Source organism: Homo sapiens, chromosome 13, assembly GCF_000001405.40.
Source record: "Homo sapiens chromosome 13, GRCh38.p14 Primary Assembly".
In the NCBI taxonomy this organism is placed as follows: domain Eukaryota; kingdom Metazoa; phylum Chordata; class Mammalia; order Primates; family Hominidae; genus Homo; species Homo sapiens.
In genome coordinates, this window is record NC_000013.11 from 72,831,292 (window position 1) to 72,847,258 (window position 15,967).

General features: G+C 36.8%; 1 protein-coding gene across 16 annotated transcripts in view; it reads left to right on the forward strand.

Moving 5' to 3' along the window:
- PIBF1 (progesterone immunomodulatory binding factor 1) overlaps positions 1-15,967 on the forward strand; it is a 234,329-nt gene that overhangs the window by 49,159 nt on the left and 169,203 nt on the right. For all 16 annotated transcript variants that reach the window (NR_146205.2, NR_146206.2, NM_001349655.2 and 13 more), the window contains one exon: positions 3,952-4,077. Coding sequence is in view for 14 of the 16 variants with exons in the window: in NM_001349655.2 (NP_001336584.1) it covers positions 3,952-4,077 (126 nt within the window). In the remaining 2 variants the exon portion in view is untranslated. The remainder of the gene's footprint in view (positions 1-3,951; positions 4,078-15,967) is intronic.

Sequence of the window (15,967 nt, forward strand, 5' to 3'; positions counted from 1 at the left end):
CTTGTCTTCTGCTAGATTTTGAATTTGTTTGCTGTTGCTTCTCTAGTTCTTTTAATTTTGATGTTAGGGTGTCAGTTTTAGATCTTTCCTGACTTCTCTTGTGGGCATTTAGTGCTATAAATTTCCCTCTACACACTGCTTTAAATGTGGCCCAGAGATTCTGGTATGTTGTGTCTTCATTCTCATTGGTTTCAAAGAACATCTTTATTTCTGCCTTCATTTCGTTGTTTACCCAGTAGTCATTCAGGAGCAGGTTGTTCATTTTCCATGTAGTTGTACGCTTCTGAGTGAGTTTATTAATCCTGAGTTCTAGTTTGATTGCACTGTGTTCTGAGAGACAGTTTGTTATGATTTCTGTTCTTTTGCATTTGCTGAGGGGTGTTTTACTTCCTATTATGTGGTCAGTTTTAGAGTGAGTGTGATGAGGTGCTGTTGATTTGGGTGGAGAGTTCTGTAATGTCTATTAGGTCTGCTTGGTCCAGATCTGAGTTCAAGTCCTGAATATCCTTGTTAATTTTCTGTCTCATTGATCTATCTAATATTGACAGCGGGGTGTTAAAGTTTCCCACCATTATTGTATGAGAGTCTAAGTCTGTTTGTAGGTCTCTAAGAACTTCCTTTATGAATCTGGGTGTTCCTGTAATGGGTGCATATATATTTAGGATAGTTAGCTCTTCCTGCCGCATTGATCCCTTTACTATTATGTAATGCCCTTTATTCTCCTTTGATCTTTGTTGGTTTAAAGTCTGTTTTATCAGAGATTAGAATTGCAATTCCGGCCTTTTTTTTTTTTTTTTTTTTTTTTTTTTTTGCTTTCCATTTGGTTGGTAAATATTCCTCCATCCCTTTATTTTGAGCCTATATGTGTCTTTGCAAATGAGATGTGTCTCCTGAATACAGCACACTCATGGGTCTTGACTCTTCATCCGATTTGCCAGTCTGTCTTTTAATTGGGGCATTTAGCCTGTTTACATTTAAGGTTAATATTGTTATGTGTGAATTTGATCCGGTCATTATGATGCTAGCTGGTTGTATTGCCCGTTAGTTGATGCAGTTTCTTCATAGTGTCGATGGTCTTTACAATTTGGTTATGTTTTTGCAGTGGCTGGTACCAGTTGTTCCTTCCCATGTTTAGTGCTTCCTTCAGGAGCTCTTTTAGGGCAGGCCTGTTGGTGACAAAATCTCTCAGGATTTGCTTGTCTGTAAAGGATTTTATTTCTCCTTTGCTTACAAAGCTTAGTTTGGCTGGATATGAAATTCTGGGTTGAAAATTCTTTTCTTTAAGAATGTTGAATATTGGCCCCCACTCTTTCTGCCTTGTAGGGTTTCTGCAGAGAGATCCGCTGTTAGTCTGATGGGCGTCCTTCCCTTTGTGCATAACCTGACCTTTTTCTCTGGCTGCCCTTAAGATTTTTTCCTTCATTTCAACCTTGGCGAATCTGACAATTATGTGTGTTAGTGTTGCTCTTCTCAACAAGTATCTTTGTCGTGTTCTCTGTATTTCCTAGATTTGAATGTTGGCCTGTCTTGCTAGGTTGGGGAAGTTCTCCTGGATAATATCCTGAAGTGTTTTCCAACTTGGTTCCATTGTCCCCATCACTTTCAGGTACACCAATCAAACGTATTTTTGTCTTTTCACGTAGTCCCGTATTTCTTGGAGGCTTTATTCATTCCTTTTTATTCTTTTGTCTCTAATCTTGTCTTCTCTCCTTATTTCATTAAGTTGATCTTCAGTCATTGTTATCTTTTCTTCCACTTGATCGATTTGGCTTTTGAAACTTGTGTATGCTTCTTGAAGTTCTCATGCTGTGTTTTTCAGCTCCATCAGGTTATTTATATTCTTCTCTACACTGGTTATTCTAGTTAGCAATTTGTCTAACCTTTTTTCAAGGTTCTTAGCTTCCTTGCATTGGGTTAGAACATGCTCCTTTAGCTTGGAGGAGTTTGTTATTACCCACCTTCTGAAGCCTACTTCTGTCAATTCATGAAACTCATTCACCGTCCAGTTTTGTTCTCTTGTTGGCGAGGAGTTGTGATCCTTTGGAGGAAAAGAGGCGTTCTGAGTTTTGGAACTTTCAGCCTTTTTGCACTGGTGTCTCCTCATCTTTGTGGATTTATCTACCTTTGGTCTTTGATGTTGGTGACCTTCAGATGGGGTCTTTGAGTGGACGTGCTATTCCTTTGTGTTTGTTAATTTTCCATCTGACAGGCCCCTTTGCTGCTGGCCTGCTGGAGTTTGCTGGAGGTCCCCTCCCGACCCTGTTTGCCTGGATATCACCAGCGGAGGCTGCAGAACAGCAAAGATTGCTGCCTGATCTTTGCTCTGGAAGCTTCTTCCCAGAGGGGCACCTGCCAGATGCCAACCAGAGCTCTCCTGTATGAGGTGTCTGTCGGTCCCTACTGGGAGGTGTCTCCCAGTCAGGATACACGGGGGTCAGGGACCCACTTGAGGAGGCAGTCTGACCCTTAGCAGAGTTCAAACGCTGTGCTGGGAGACCCACTGCTCTCTTCAGAGCTGTTAGGCAGGGACGTTTAAGTCTGCTGAAGCTGCACCCACAGGCACCCCTTTCCCCAGGTGCTCTGTCCCAGGGAGCTAGGAGTTTTATCTATCAATTTTATTTTCTTACACAATATTACTTTCTAGTTGGTTTTTAAAAAGACACTGTGGTTTTTTTCAGCAATATCAAAAGCCTATTTCTTTTAGATAGATAGATATATGCTATGACAGTTTTTTCATTTGTGGCATAATTTTTTAAATTCCTATGACTAATATCTCTATAGAAGTATTTTTTTAAAGAAAGTATGAAAGTATCTCTATAGAAGTATATTTTGGAAGAAAATCTCAGTATGCTAACGATTTCCTGTGTGAAATGTAAAAGAATTATGAGGAGATGGTATCGCATTGTGTTTTAACTTATATGCCCTTCAATCAGACTCCCTATGTTTTGGTCCTGCCTTCTTTCTTCTACTGGATGTGTAGAAGTTACTGAAGTACCTTAATATCAATCGCTTTTATAACCCTTGAATTATATCGACATACCAAAACAAACATGCTGGGTGCAGTGGCTCACACCTGTAATCCCAGCATTTTGGGAGGCCAAGGCAGGAGGATTGCTTGAGGCCAGAAGTTTGAGACCAGCCTGGGCAACATCGAAAACCCTGTCTCTATAAAAAAAAGTTTTTAAATTAGCAAGGCACAATGTCAAGCACATGTAGTCCTGCCTACTCAGGAGGCTGGGGCAGGAAGATGGCTTGAGCCCAGGAGTTCGGGGTTACATGATTGTGCCACTGTACTTCATCCTGGGTGAGAGAGCAAGGCATTATCTCTTTAAGAAAAAAAGAAAAAAATACTAAAACAAAACAAATTTTACCTTAAAGGTAAAGGTAAAGGTAAATTTTACTCTTAAAGAGTTCACACATTCATAATTTTTCCTAGCCTGTAGTAGTTTTTCATACCCTATATAATACTTCGACTTGGCTAAAAGATCACGGTGTGGCTGTGGTTGTCATGCTTGGAAGCAAAGGATTCATAGACTCCGAGTCATTTCATTTTTATATTTTTGTTAATATTATTCATCTCTCAACATCATCCTACCACATTATTATTTTTAAATGAAGGACATTCTCAATTTTGAAGCCTCAACCATATGCATTAAAACTACTAGAAAAGTGTTTTGGAAGATGAATAATTATCCCACATGAATTACTAAGATTTTATATAGTAATTAAGTCTTTTGGAAAATAATGTTTAACAGGTTGAAATCTTAGATCATACTAGTTAGGAACAGTATTTTTAGGAATTATAAAACTTTATACTATTAATAGTTAAGTTTTTCAGGTAACACAGTTTATAGAGCATACTTGATAAAAGGTATTAAAATCTTACGTACAGTGCAAAAGCCTATTTGTTTCAAAAGAAAATTTATGGTTGTTCCTTTTCACTCCTTGCAGAGACCATTATAAAACAGAATATGAAAATAAACTACATGATGAACTAGAACAAATCAGATTGAAAACCAACCAAGAAATTGATCAACTTCGAAATGCCTCTAGGGAAATGTATGAACGAGAAAACAGGTAAAAAAAAAAAAATGCTTGTATGGTATTTTATTTATCTTTGGAGGTTTTAGAAGCTTTATTGAAATTAAATGCTATTTATTATATAATGTCTTTTTTAATACATTAGAGAAAACTTGTCATAAATTGAAATCTAAGTATAATGAGAACATGAAAGTTCTAAAGTCTTAGAACAAGATTTACTAGACTTTAACCTTTTTGCTCTGTTATTCCTGTTATGTCTTTTTTTTTTACCCTAGTGACTTCTCTTTTTGCATTTGCTTCAGTTCAGATTGAGGACAGATAAAAAGTAAAGAGTGCTGAGATATCAGTTCTTCCTGTATTATAGCAACGATTTCTCCTGGAAACTTGTTAAAACTAGAATAGTAATTTCAAATATACATATGCCTCATTTAGCTGCTGGCTCCGAAAGATGTCGTATTAGGTAATCCTGAAGAAATATCATTTTTGGCTGGGCGTGGTGGCTCACGCCTGTAATCCCAGCACTTTGGGAGGCCGAGGTGGGCAGATCACGAGGTCAGGAGATCGAGACTATCCTGGCTAACATGGTGAAACCCCATCTCTACTAAAAATACAAAAAATTAGCCAGGCATGGTGGCGGGCGCCTGTAATCCCAGCTACTCGGGAGGCTGAGGCAGGAGAATGGCATGAACCGGGGACACAGAGCTTGCAGTGAGCCGAGATCGCACCACTACACTCCAGCCTTGGCGAAAGTGCGAGACACCATCTCAAAAAAAAAAAAGAAAAAAGAAATATCATTTTTATTCATGCAGTTACTTTTAGATCAGTAAATATTAGGCTCACCTAGTTAGTGATTGGCAGAATTCAGGGAAAATAAATACTATTTATTTCAATGGCAGATATTTTTATACCGTTATTATAGTCAGTGTGGTTTTTGAAAGTTTATATTTTAATGAGAAAATTATTTTGAAATTGACTTGTGATACTAGTTTATCAGCACTGATTTGCTTATATGATATTTTGATTGTTGTCAGCAAGGCTTTAAATCAGACTTAATCTATAATAGCATTGTACCATGTCATTTCTACTAGGAATATAGTAGCAGAAAATTTGGTATGTCCACCCCTCAATTCCAGGAAAAAAAAGCTGCTGTATTATAGTTGCTTATTTATAAGTTGCTGTATTTATAAGTTAGCCACTACTATAAAAACTATATATGTAGAATTATCCTTTGGTAGTAAATTAACAAAGATATTTTTAAATTACTGTTAAATTGTTATTTAATATAGCAGGTTGGTAGAGATTTTTATGCTAATGCCTCTGAGGGGTATGATTTTATTCTCAGGTTTCTTTGTTCTTGGGTAAAAATATTTGTGGTAATAAGAGAGTAGATATACAATTTATGATAGAACTTTTTTAGGATTTTTGCTAAATATGACTTAGTAGAAAGTCATAAAATGACTCTCATGAAAATCAGATTATTATTTTCCTCATAAATTTGGCTTGCATAGATCTTTATCTACCTGTTTGATCTTTTTTGAAAGTCTGCATTAGAAGTATACGCCAAAGGAAATTAATATGAACTTCAAACACTGAACACAAAAGAAATCATTCATTTGTGTATTCAACAGATACTTTGTGATTATACTCTTCTGCCTATTTTTTCTTGTTCTTCTCTTATTTGAGCTTTAAAATAATTATGTCATATTTATAATCTAGTATTATATTTTCAATGAAAATGGCAAAGAATTTCAAAATATAAAAATTCTAAGTGATCATTCAGTACTATCTTAGCAGTAGACAAACTAAAAATATGCTTTAGGCACCAGCAAATACGTGTGCATGCCAGAAGAAATTATACGTATTCTTAAAAAATGTTTTGACATATTAATTTTTAAAATAACATTTTTTATCTTGGGAAAAATAAAAACACCTCTGCATTTGTTTACACTTAGTTTATATTTTAATATTTGAGTATCGAATTACTAGTAGGAGCACCATAATCTTTTATGTGAATAAGGCTTTTGAAGTCCTAAGCTAGCCTTCATATGTTGAATCCTGAGAAAATTTTGTTCCAAGTAGCTCAAAGAAATATTGGACCACTCTTTAAATAGCATTATTTTTTATTTTAATTACTATGTTATGATTGTTCTCTTTTTTGACCATATATGTTTGCATGTATGTGTATAAAATAACAGATGTTAAGAGAAAATTTCCTAGTTTTCATTAAATAAATAATTATAAAGAAGTAGAATAATGCAGCACTACAGAAATGTCCTTGAGACTCTTTCTGCTTAACTCCTGTCTTCCATAACTGCTATTCTGTTATGCTAATAACTTCCTTGCTTCTCCTTAGACTTTTATTATCTATGTTTCCAGTATATAAACATCTCTGCACAATATAGTTTAGTTTTTCATATTATATTAGTATCATATAAATGGAATTATGCTGTATACACATATATTTTTGTGGCTTCTTCACATAACCTTATGATTTTAAGATTCATTTGCTTTTGCACTTAGTTGTCCCTTCATGTTCATTACAAAAGTATAACAGTTTTATGAATGTACATGCTTAGGGCAGCAGAGTTATTAAGAGATTGGAGAGAGAATTCCAAAGACATTCTCTATCTTTGGCAAAATTTTACTTCGTCCCAGCCCTACATTAGAAAGGAGGATCCTGTACCTTGTGATTACTTGCTCTGAAAGTTCAAAATGCAGACTAAAAGAAGAGGTATACACCTATTAAATGCTAAGCTTTATGTTGGAAAGTTTTACATTTGCACCCTCATGTAATTTTCAGAGCAATAAATTAATGAATTTAGCAAATATTTATTGAAATGTACCATTTGCCAGCTAAATGCTAGACATCATAGGTAGTGGTGACCTTTGTCTTCACAAAGCTGGTAGTCTAATGGAGGGTAAAGACAAATAGAGAAACAATTATCATAAGTATGATGATGATGGACAAAATGATAGGATAAAAGATGAGACCACCTGTGTATCTAACCTAGCCTTGGGAGGAATTGGGGAAGACTTCATAAATGAAGAACTGCCCCTTTTGACTAAAACTACTATTAAAAGTAAAACTTCAGACACATTAAATTTAAAGTTTAATTGAGCAATGAACAATTCGCAAATCAGGCAGCTTCCAGAATCACAGCAGATTCAGAGAGACTCCAGGGGTCCCTCATGGTCAGAACAAATTTATAGACAAAAAAAGTAAAGTGGCATACAGAAATCAGAAGTGAGATACAGAAACAGCTGGATTTGTTATAGGTTGGTGTTTAACTTATTTGAACACTCAGCAGTGTATGAATGGTTGAAGTATGGCTGCTGGGGTTGGCCCAGACTCAGCTGTTGTTACAGGCACATACCCCCAAGTTAGGTTTTCTATCTTGTCTGCCTATTAAGTTAGGTTGCAGTTTGTCAATACGGACTCAAATATAGAAGTACGGAGTCCTTCTTAAGGCCATATTTAGTTTGCATTAACACTATGAACTAAGGAAGGAAAGGAAATTGGGGGAATGAATATATAGCATATATAAAAGCCTGAAAGTAGGACAAAAAGGACAAAATGAAGCTTTTTGAACAAACTAATTCGGTATGGCTGAAGGATAGACTGAGAGGCAGGGAGTTAAAAGAGATGAAACAGAAGCAGGAAATGGGCCCAAAGAATGCATTTGGACCATTATGTAAGACCTGTGGGGAACAATTGAAAGATTTTAAGAAGAGGCATGAATTGATCTGATTTTATATCAAAAGATCACTGTAATGTAGAGAATAGATTGGAATGGCATAAGCCTGTTAGACAGAGAGGGTCTACTTTTAGAGGTTATTTCCATTATCCAGATGAGAGGTGATAATGGAACTGGATTAGTATCAGTAAAGATGAGAGAAATGGGCCAGGTTGGAAAAGTATTTAGGAGACAGAGCCGACAGGACTCAGTGACTAGATTGGATTGGTTGGATGAGAACTCGTTAAGGATGTCAGCAAGGTTTCTGAATTAAACAGCTGCATAAATAGTGATATAGTTTTTAAAACATTAGAAAATACAAAGCTTTAATAGGAAAACATGATAAATTTAGTTGTTTCACTTGAAGTGTCTGTGGCATCTACAAATAAAAGAGTTGACTGTAGAAGAATCTGAACCTCAAGAGAAAGATCTGGGAATTAGAGAGGCCTGTGGTATAGATAGTATTATTACTATTTTACAAATAAGTACTGTTGGTTCTGTGGTTCAATTCTGTTGTGGATTTAATAGGCTTTTGTTGACTGATATAATAACTTTAAAATATATGGGAACTTCCTATGGTTATTCCTAAGCAATCCACATAGCCATATAAACTTTGGTATGTAATCATCTTGAAAATTTCCTCATTTTTTAGGTTTTTGCTGTTTTTTAAAAAAAAATCTTTAAAGTTTATCCCATTGTAACATAAATGTGGTTGGTAGGGGTAGGTTGGTAGGTAAGGCTGTGTGGGGAAACAACCAACAGAGCCGTTTCTGGAAGTAGGAAAACTGAAAGCAGATGTCCTTGTCTCCTTGTCTCCAGTGTTCTTCTGACCCCCTATCCACATCAAAATGGACACTACCTAACCAGGGGATTCCTGGGATTGGGGCTGCCCTGTGGATGCCCCAGCCAGCCACAGGGCTCAGAATTGATTGGATGTATACTGAGGCTAGAGTGGACAATTGCCACCAGGTGGTGCCAAATTGCAGCCTGAGCCCAGATGAATTTGAATTTCACAGGACACCTAACTAGCTAGGTGTACAGGCTTGCCTTTATCATTTTAATCTCACAGTAATCCAACTCTATGTTTTATGTAATCTTTGGGGATCATAGTTTCTTCATTATGGCAGATTTAACTGTAGTTAGAGCTTGTATCATACTAATCTTCCACACAGTAAAAAGTAAATTATAAATTACTTCTTTTGAAATCTTAGAACTTAAAATGGCTAAAGAAAGAATTTTAATATTTCCTGTTATAAAACATGAAATTCATAATAAGTTTACACATTTAAGGTTGTGTGTGTGTGTTTAGGTAAATTAATCTTTTGCTTTGGCCTGAGATGTGTAATTATGTTAATTACTAGTATTTTATCAAAGTGTGCTGTTACAATAAGTTGAAATGGATGAAGTACTTACACTTGCATATTTATATTTGGTCTCCTTATCTCTCCCCCAATAAACTTTTTTTTTTTTTTTTTTTGACGGAGTCTTGCTCTGTCACCCAGACTGGAGTGCAGTGGCGTGATCTCAGCTCACTGCAACCTCCACCTCCCGAGTCCAAGCGATTCTCCTGTCTCAGCCTTCTGAGTAGCTGGGATTACAGGTTCGCGCCACCACGCCCGGCTAATTTTCATATTTTTAGTACGGATGGGGTTTCACCATCTGTTGGCCAGGCTGTTCTCAAACTCCTGACCTCAGGTAGTCTGCCTGCCTCGGCCTCCCAAAGTGCTGGGATTACAGGCGTGAGCCACCATGCCCGGCCCCAATAAACATTTTCTAAAGAAACTGAAATGATGATTAATGAAATATATTTTGCCTTTAATTTGTTGTCTATACATTGGAGGATATTAAAAGGATACTTTTTCTTTTCTCTTCTTTAATATGGAAAAGGCACATGGAACTTACTCTGTCCAATCTTGGTATCTGACCTGCAGTCATTCCACTAGTTCTTGAAGTTAAAGTATTGAGAGAAAAGAAAGAGAGTAGAAGATATAAAGACTTAAGAAAAGGGCAATTATAAATGAAGAGAGAACTTGGATATTTAGATACATCAAACATACTGTAGTTGAAATTATAATATGTATGTATGCTTTGGTCCAGTTTGTGAATTAAGCTTTTTTGTCTTTTCTGTATTTTCTAGTTACTTAAAATTCCACTTTGGAGCTGTAGGAAATGAGTGAAAGGTACTACAGTGCTGAGATGTATTATATAAATAACTTCTTGCTTAGTAGGTATTATGTGACAGAAATGTTATGGACCCTCTTATGCATTTGGAAATAAGACATTCTGTGAGTGGGAGTATATTATGAAAGAGATTTGGATCAAAAGACTGAACTTGATCCTGGTTCTACCACTTACTAGCTCAGCAGATAAGTCACTTAATATCCCTGAAGTTTAATTTCTTCTTTTATAAAATGGGCTAATAGGCTAGGTGTGGTGGCTAACACCTGTAATACCAACACTTTGGGAGACTGAGGCAGATGGATTGCTTAAGTCTAGGAGTTCGAGACCAGCCTGGGCAACATGGCAGAACCCCGTCTCTAGTGAAAATACAAAAAAAATTAGCCAGGCGTGGTGGCACAGGCCTGTAGTCCTATTAAGGAGGCTGAGGTGGGAGGATCACCTGAGCCTGGGAGGTCAAGGCTGCACTGAGCCAAGATCATGCCATTTGCACTCCACCCTGGGCAAATGGAGTGAGACCCTGTCTCAAAAAATAATAATAACTAACTAATAATACTTTTTAGGGTGGCCCGTGAGGTCTAAATGAAATAATATATGCAAAAAGTACATTATAAATTATAGATGTAGATGAGTTATTTTGGTACCTTGTGCCTATGTAGAATACTTGAAGAAAATATTTTCATCTGTTATGTTGACAGTTTAAGGAAAATCACCATTATATAAAAGTCATCTGATAATATTATGGGATTATTTATCATTAGAAGATACTAATACAAAATATATATTCTTAAGTGTTTATCTCCATAGCATTTAACCAGTTTTCTTAAATGACGTAATACAGACGTAGAGGGTCTACATGCCATTCTTTTCTGTCTAAATTTCTGCATAAGATGGCTAGCTTATGTTTCCTAATTAGGTTATGAGATAATAAGGTAAAGGGAGATAAATTCAGCTGATTAAGTTTTTCCATAAAGTAAAACTACCTTTATTTAAGGTGGTCTTGTTAACTGTAAACACAGAGCTATTCTGAGTGGTGCTCTACAAAAGATAATAGAGGTATTCATGATGCTCTTGATGCAGTACAGAATCTGGAAATTGAAATAGCTTTACAATTGTTTGAAAGGGGGTAGGCAGTAGAGAAAAAGAGATTGAAAAGATGCTTTTAAGTGCAACAATTAGTATTGCTTTAGTGATTTTATTTTCCTGCCGAATCAATAAAAACCATCTTGACCACAATTTATCTTCCAAAAGTACTCAAGAAGAAACTTTAATGATATAAACTTGAAATTTATGTAGAATCTTAGAGTGATATTAAACAACTTTGAATCTTGAATCTATTTACAAAGGTTAGTTGAGTATATGTATTGTATTACAATGGTGAATTTAACTAGTGTACAGAGGTTCCAGTCATCATTTTAAAAGTGTATGTCCTCATTAGTGCTTAAGCAAACAAACAAACTTCTTTTGTTCATATCTTACCAGGTATCTGTATAATGTTTTAAGTTCTTCCATGGAAAAATTTAATAGTAATTACTTTGTCTTTTCAGTTAGATAATTCTTGAAGTATATGGCTCTGCAGATAACTCTCTCAGCATCTTCTCAAATATTTTAAATTAATTTTTATTATCAGTTATCTTTTATTGTTAACTATATTCTTTACTCCTTAGATGTTTACAACGTGTGTTCACTGCTTCATTAATAATACTTAAAAATTTCAAGCTCTGTAGGGTGTTCCAGATATGAAGCAAGGTAAGTTCAGGTTGCATAGGAATTTAGATATACCTTTGTGGTGTAATTCGTTGTGTGTTAGGAGAGGCTGGTAAAGTAAGATTGGGCCAGATTTTAAAGGTTCTGTTGTCAGTGGGGAATTTCCAGAGGTTTTATAGTAGGAAAGAAACATGACTTACTCATTTTTTATAACTACGGTTGCAATGCGGGGTGGATTATAGTTGAAGAAAGCCTAGAAGCAGGGAGATCACGTAGGAGGCTGTTGCACAGCTTAGGTGATGAAAATAAGTAGAAAGAGAAAATGATGGATGAATTTAAAGAATACGTAGGAGAATTGGCAAGATCTGGTGATTGACAGGAAGTGAACCTCAGGAACGACCCCAACTTTTCTACCTCAGTAGTGTCAGAGTGATTGGTGATAAGGCATGGCCATTAGCTCCAGAATGCAGACTTTTTGAGACAGAGTTTTGCTCTTGTCGTCCAGGCTGGAGTGCAGTGGCACAGTCTTGGCTCACTGCAACCTCTGCCTCCCGGGTTTAAGTGATTATCCTGCCTCAGCCTCCCAGGTAGCTGGGATTATAGGCATGTGCCACTATGCCCAGCTAATTTTTGTACTTTTAGTAGAGACGGGGTTTCGCCATGTTGGTCAGGCTGGTCTGGAACTCCTGACCTCAGGTGATCTACCCACCTCGGCCTCCCAAAGTGCTGGGGTTACAGGCATGAGCCACCGCGCCTGGCCTAATTTCTGATCTTTTACAGATGTGGCAGCCCTGACCAAGCTCAAAAGTGCTTATCTGAGATCACACAGCTTTTTACTAGAGATGTTTCTCTGCTGTGCCCCAGATTTCACTCCACTTAGCCCTCAGATTAGTAGAAGGAACCCTAAGCTGCTAAAGCCCCTCCAACAGTCTTCTCTGTTTTCCCTAGGATGCCATTAAAAATAGTATCACTTTCATTTTATACAATAAAAACTTTGAGGAAACATTGCTGTAATTATCAACCTTTAAATTAACATCACGTTTTAATTTACATTTTCATATTTAGGTAGCATAGTAAGCATAGTTACTATTTATTGAGTACCTATTATGCGTCAAGCATTGTACTCAACACTTTACATACGTTGTAGAAAAAGAAACACATTTTATGAAGTTTAGGTATTAATAACCGTATTTTACAAGTAAGGTAATTGAGACATCAACTGTGACTTGCCTGTGATTATTATAAACATTTGTTGGTAAAAACTAGATACATCTGACTCTGCAATGCAGTGCACACTCCCATTTAACTGGTCAGTGCTATGTAAACTGATCAAAGATTTCCTATCAAAACTACAATTTTGAAGTTAATTTACTTAAAATAGAAATTCTGTCTTTTTTTATTATTATACTTTAGGTTCTGGGATACATGTGCAGAACGTGCAGGTTTGTTACATAGGTATACACATGCCATGGTGGTTTGCTGCACCCATCAACCCGTCATCTACATTAGGTATTTCTCCTAATGCTCTCCGTCCCCTAGCCCTTCACCCCAACAGGCCCCAGTGTATGATGTTTCCCTCCCTGTTTCCATGTGTTCTCATTGTTCAACTCCCACTTATGAGTGAGAACATTCAGTGTTTCGGTTTTCTGTTCCTGTGTTAGTTTGCTGAGAATGATGGAGAAACTCTGTCTTTTAAGAGAATTTGCAAACGACATTCCATGCTTGAGGGCTGAGTATGGATCATTAGAGCTTTATAAAAGCATCTGTAATTTTATTTACACACACACACACACACACACACACACACACACACACACACACACACACACACACACACACACACACACACGGATGAAGTCTTACTGTTTTGCCCAGGCTGGGTCTTGAACTCCTGAGCTCAAGTGATCCTCCCCGCCGACCTCAGCCTCCCAAAGTGCTAGGATTACAGGTGTGAGCCACCATTCCCAGACAAGCATTTATAATTTTTGAAGTTAGCAAAGAGGACTTTTTCTTTTCTTTTTTATTTTATTTTATTTTATTTTAAGTTCTATGATACAAATGCAGAACATGTAGGTTTGTTGCATAGGTATACATGTGCCATGGTGGTTTGCTGCACCTATCAACGGGTCCATCTAGGTTTTAAGCCCCACATGCATTAGCTGTTTGTCCTAATGCTCTCCCTCCCCTTGCCCCCCACCCCCAAGTTGGCTCCAGTGTGTGTTGTTCCCCTCCCTGTTTCCGTGTGTTCTCATTGTTCAGCTCCCACTTATGAGTGAGAATATGTGGTGTTTGGTTTTCTGTTCCTGTGTTTGCTGAGGATGATGGTTTCTAGCTTCGTATCCATGTCCCTGCAAAGGACATGATCTCATTCCTTTTTATGGCTGTGTAGTATTCCATGGTGTATATGTACCACATTTTCTTTATCCAGTCTATCATTGATGGGCATTTGGGTTGGTTCCATGCCTTTGCTACTATAAATAGTGCTGCAATAAATATATGTGTCCATGTGTCTTTTTATAGTAGAGTGATTTATATTCCTTTTATAGTAGAGTGATTTATAGTCCTTTTGGTATATACCTAGTAATGGGATTGCTGGGTCAAATGTTATTTCTTCTTGTAGATCCTTGAGGAATCGCTACACTGTCTTCCACAACTGTTGAAGTAATTTACACTCCCACTAACAGTGTAGAAGCATTCCTGCTTCTCACCAGCATCTGTTGTTTCTTGGCTTTTAATAATTGCCATTTTGACTGGCATGAGATGGTATCATTGTGGTTTTGATTTGCATTTCTCTAATTATCAGTGATGATGAGCTTTTTTTCATGTTTCTTGGCCACATAAATGTCTTCTTTTGAGAAGTGTGTGTTCATATCCACTATCAAGCCTTTGGCACCCCCATACTACTCCAACAAAGATGTTTTTATACCAAAGCCCCTAAGACCTTCATGTTGCCCAAATCCAGTAGTCATTTTCTCAGTTCTTACCATGCTTCACCTTACTAGCAGTATGTAACACAGTTGATCACTCCCTACTCCTGGGAACACAATCTTTAGCTTCCATAGTGTCACACACTATTAAATTTTTCTCTTCCTCATTAGCTGCACCTACTCATTCTCTTTGTTGGTTCCTCCTCATCTTCTTGACAACTTTTGCAGCTGCCTCCATGGCATTTCCACTTGGTTATCTATTAATAATATTTATCCTAATGTGTTCAGAAGCAAATTTCTGTTCCATTCTACCTCCCAATTCTGCTCCACCTTCAGTCTTACCCAGTTCGATTAAAGACAACTCTATTCTTCCACTTGCCCAGACCAAAAACCTGAAGTCATCTTTTTTCACATTCCATATTCTATTCATTAGCAAATCCTTTTGGATTTATGATCTCTATCTCACGTATATTACCTTGCTTCAAGTCACCATTATCTCTTGCCTAAAAATTACTGCAGTAGCCTCTTAAGTGGTCCCCAGCTTTCTTCCTCGCCCTCTCCAGTCTCTTAGCACAGTTCTTGTTAAATGTTAAGTTGGATCACTCCTCTACTCAAATAAAAAGGCTCCCCATCATTAAACTTAGTAAAACTTTAAATGATTACAGTGGCCTGTGATCCTACCTGATCAGTATTCAGTTATCCTATCCTCATTTAGGATTTTCTTCTGGTCACTCGCATAGTTATGCTGGCCTCCTGTTCTTTTACCTGTAGGTGTGCTCCTACCTCAGGTCCTTTGTATTCAGTTTCCACTGCATAACCATCTACTCCTGATGATACACCTGTTCTTGTGGTCTTTTCTGACTTTGTTCTATGTTGTCTTTGTTTTTAATCTATCAACATACTACATATTTATTTACTTTGGGTTTTTTTCCTACTAGAATGTGATCTCCATGAGAGTAGGAGTTTTCATGTATCGTTCAGTCCTGGACTCCCAGGTACCAGTGCCTGGTACGCAGTAAACACTCAATATACGTAATATTTATTGAATGAAAGAATGAATTGGTACTACTTTTTAGAAATTAGGTGGCTGTTGGTTTAGATGAAAACCTACTCAAAGGTTTATAATGGATTTGATCAGGACTGAGTGTCGTTTGAAGATATATAGTAGTTACTCAGTTAACCATCTACCAGATTCATTCTGTTTCATTTTGATATGTTACCTTTTATCCTGTCAGCTACTTTGTAAATCTTAACACATTAATGGATTTAAGCAAATATTTTGCATTTTGGTACTTCAATTTTTTATAATTTTTCAACCATAATTTGGGTTCAATGTTTATCTACTTTGTGCTTAAGTTTTCATATCTAGAAACAAACAAA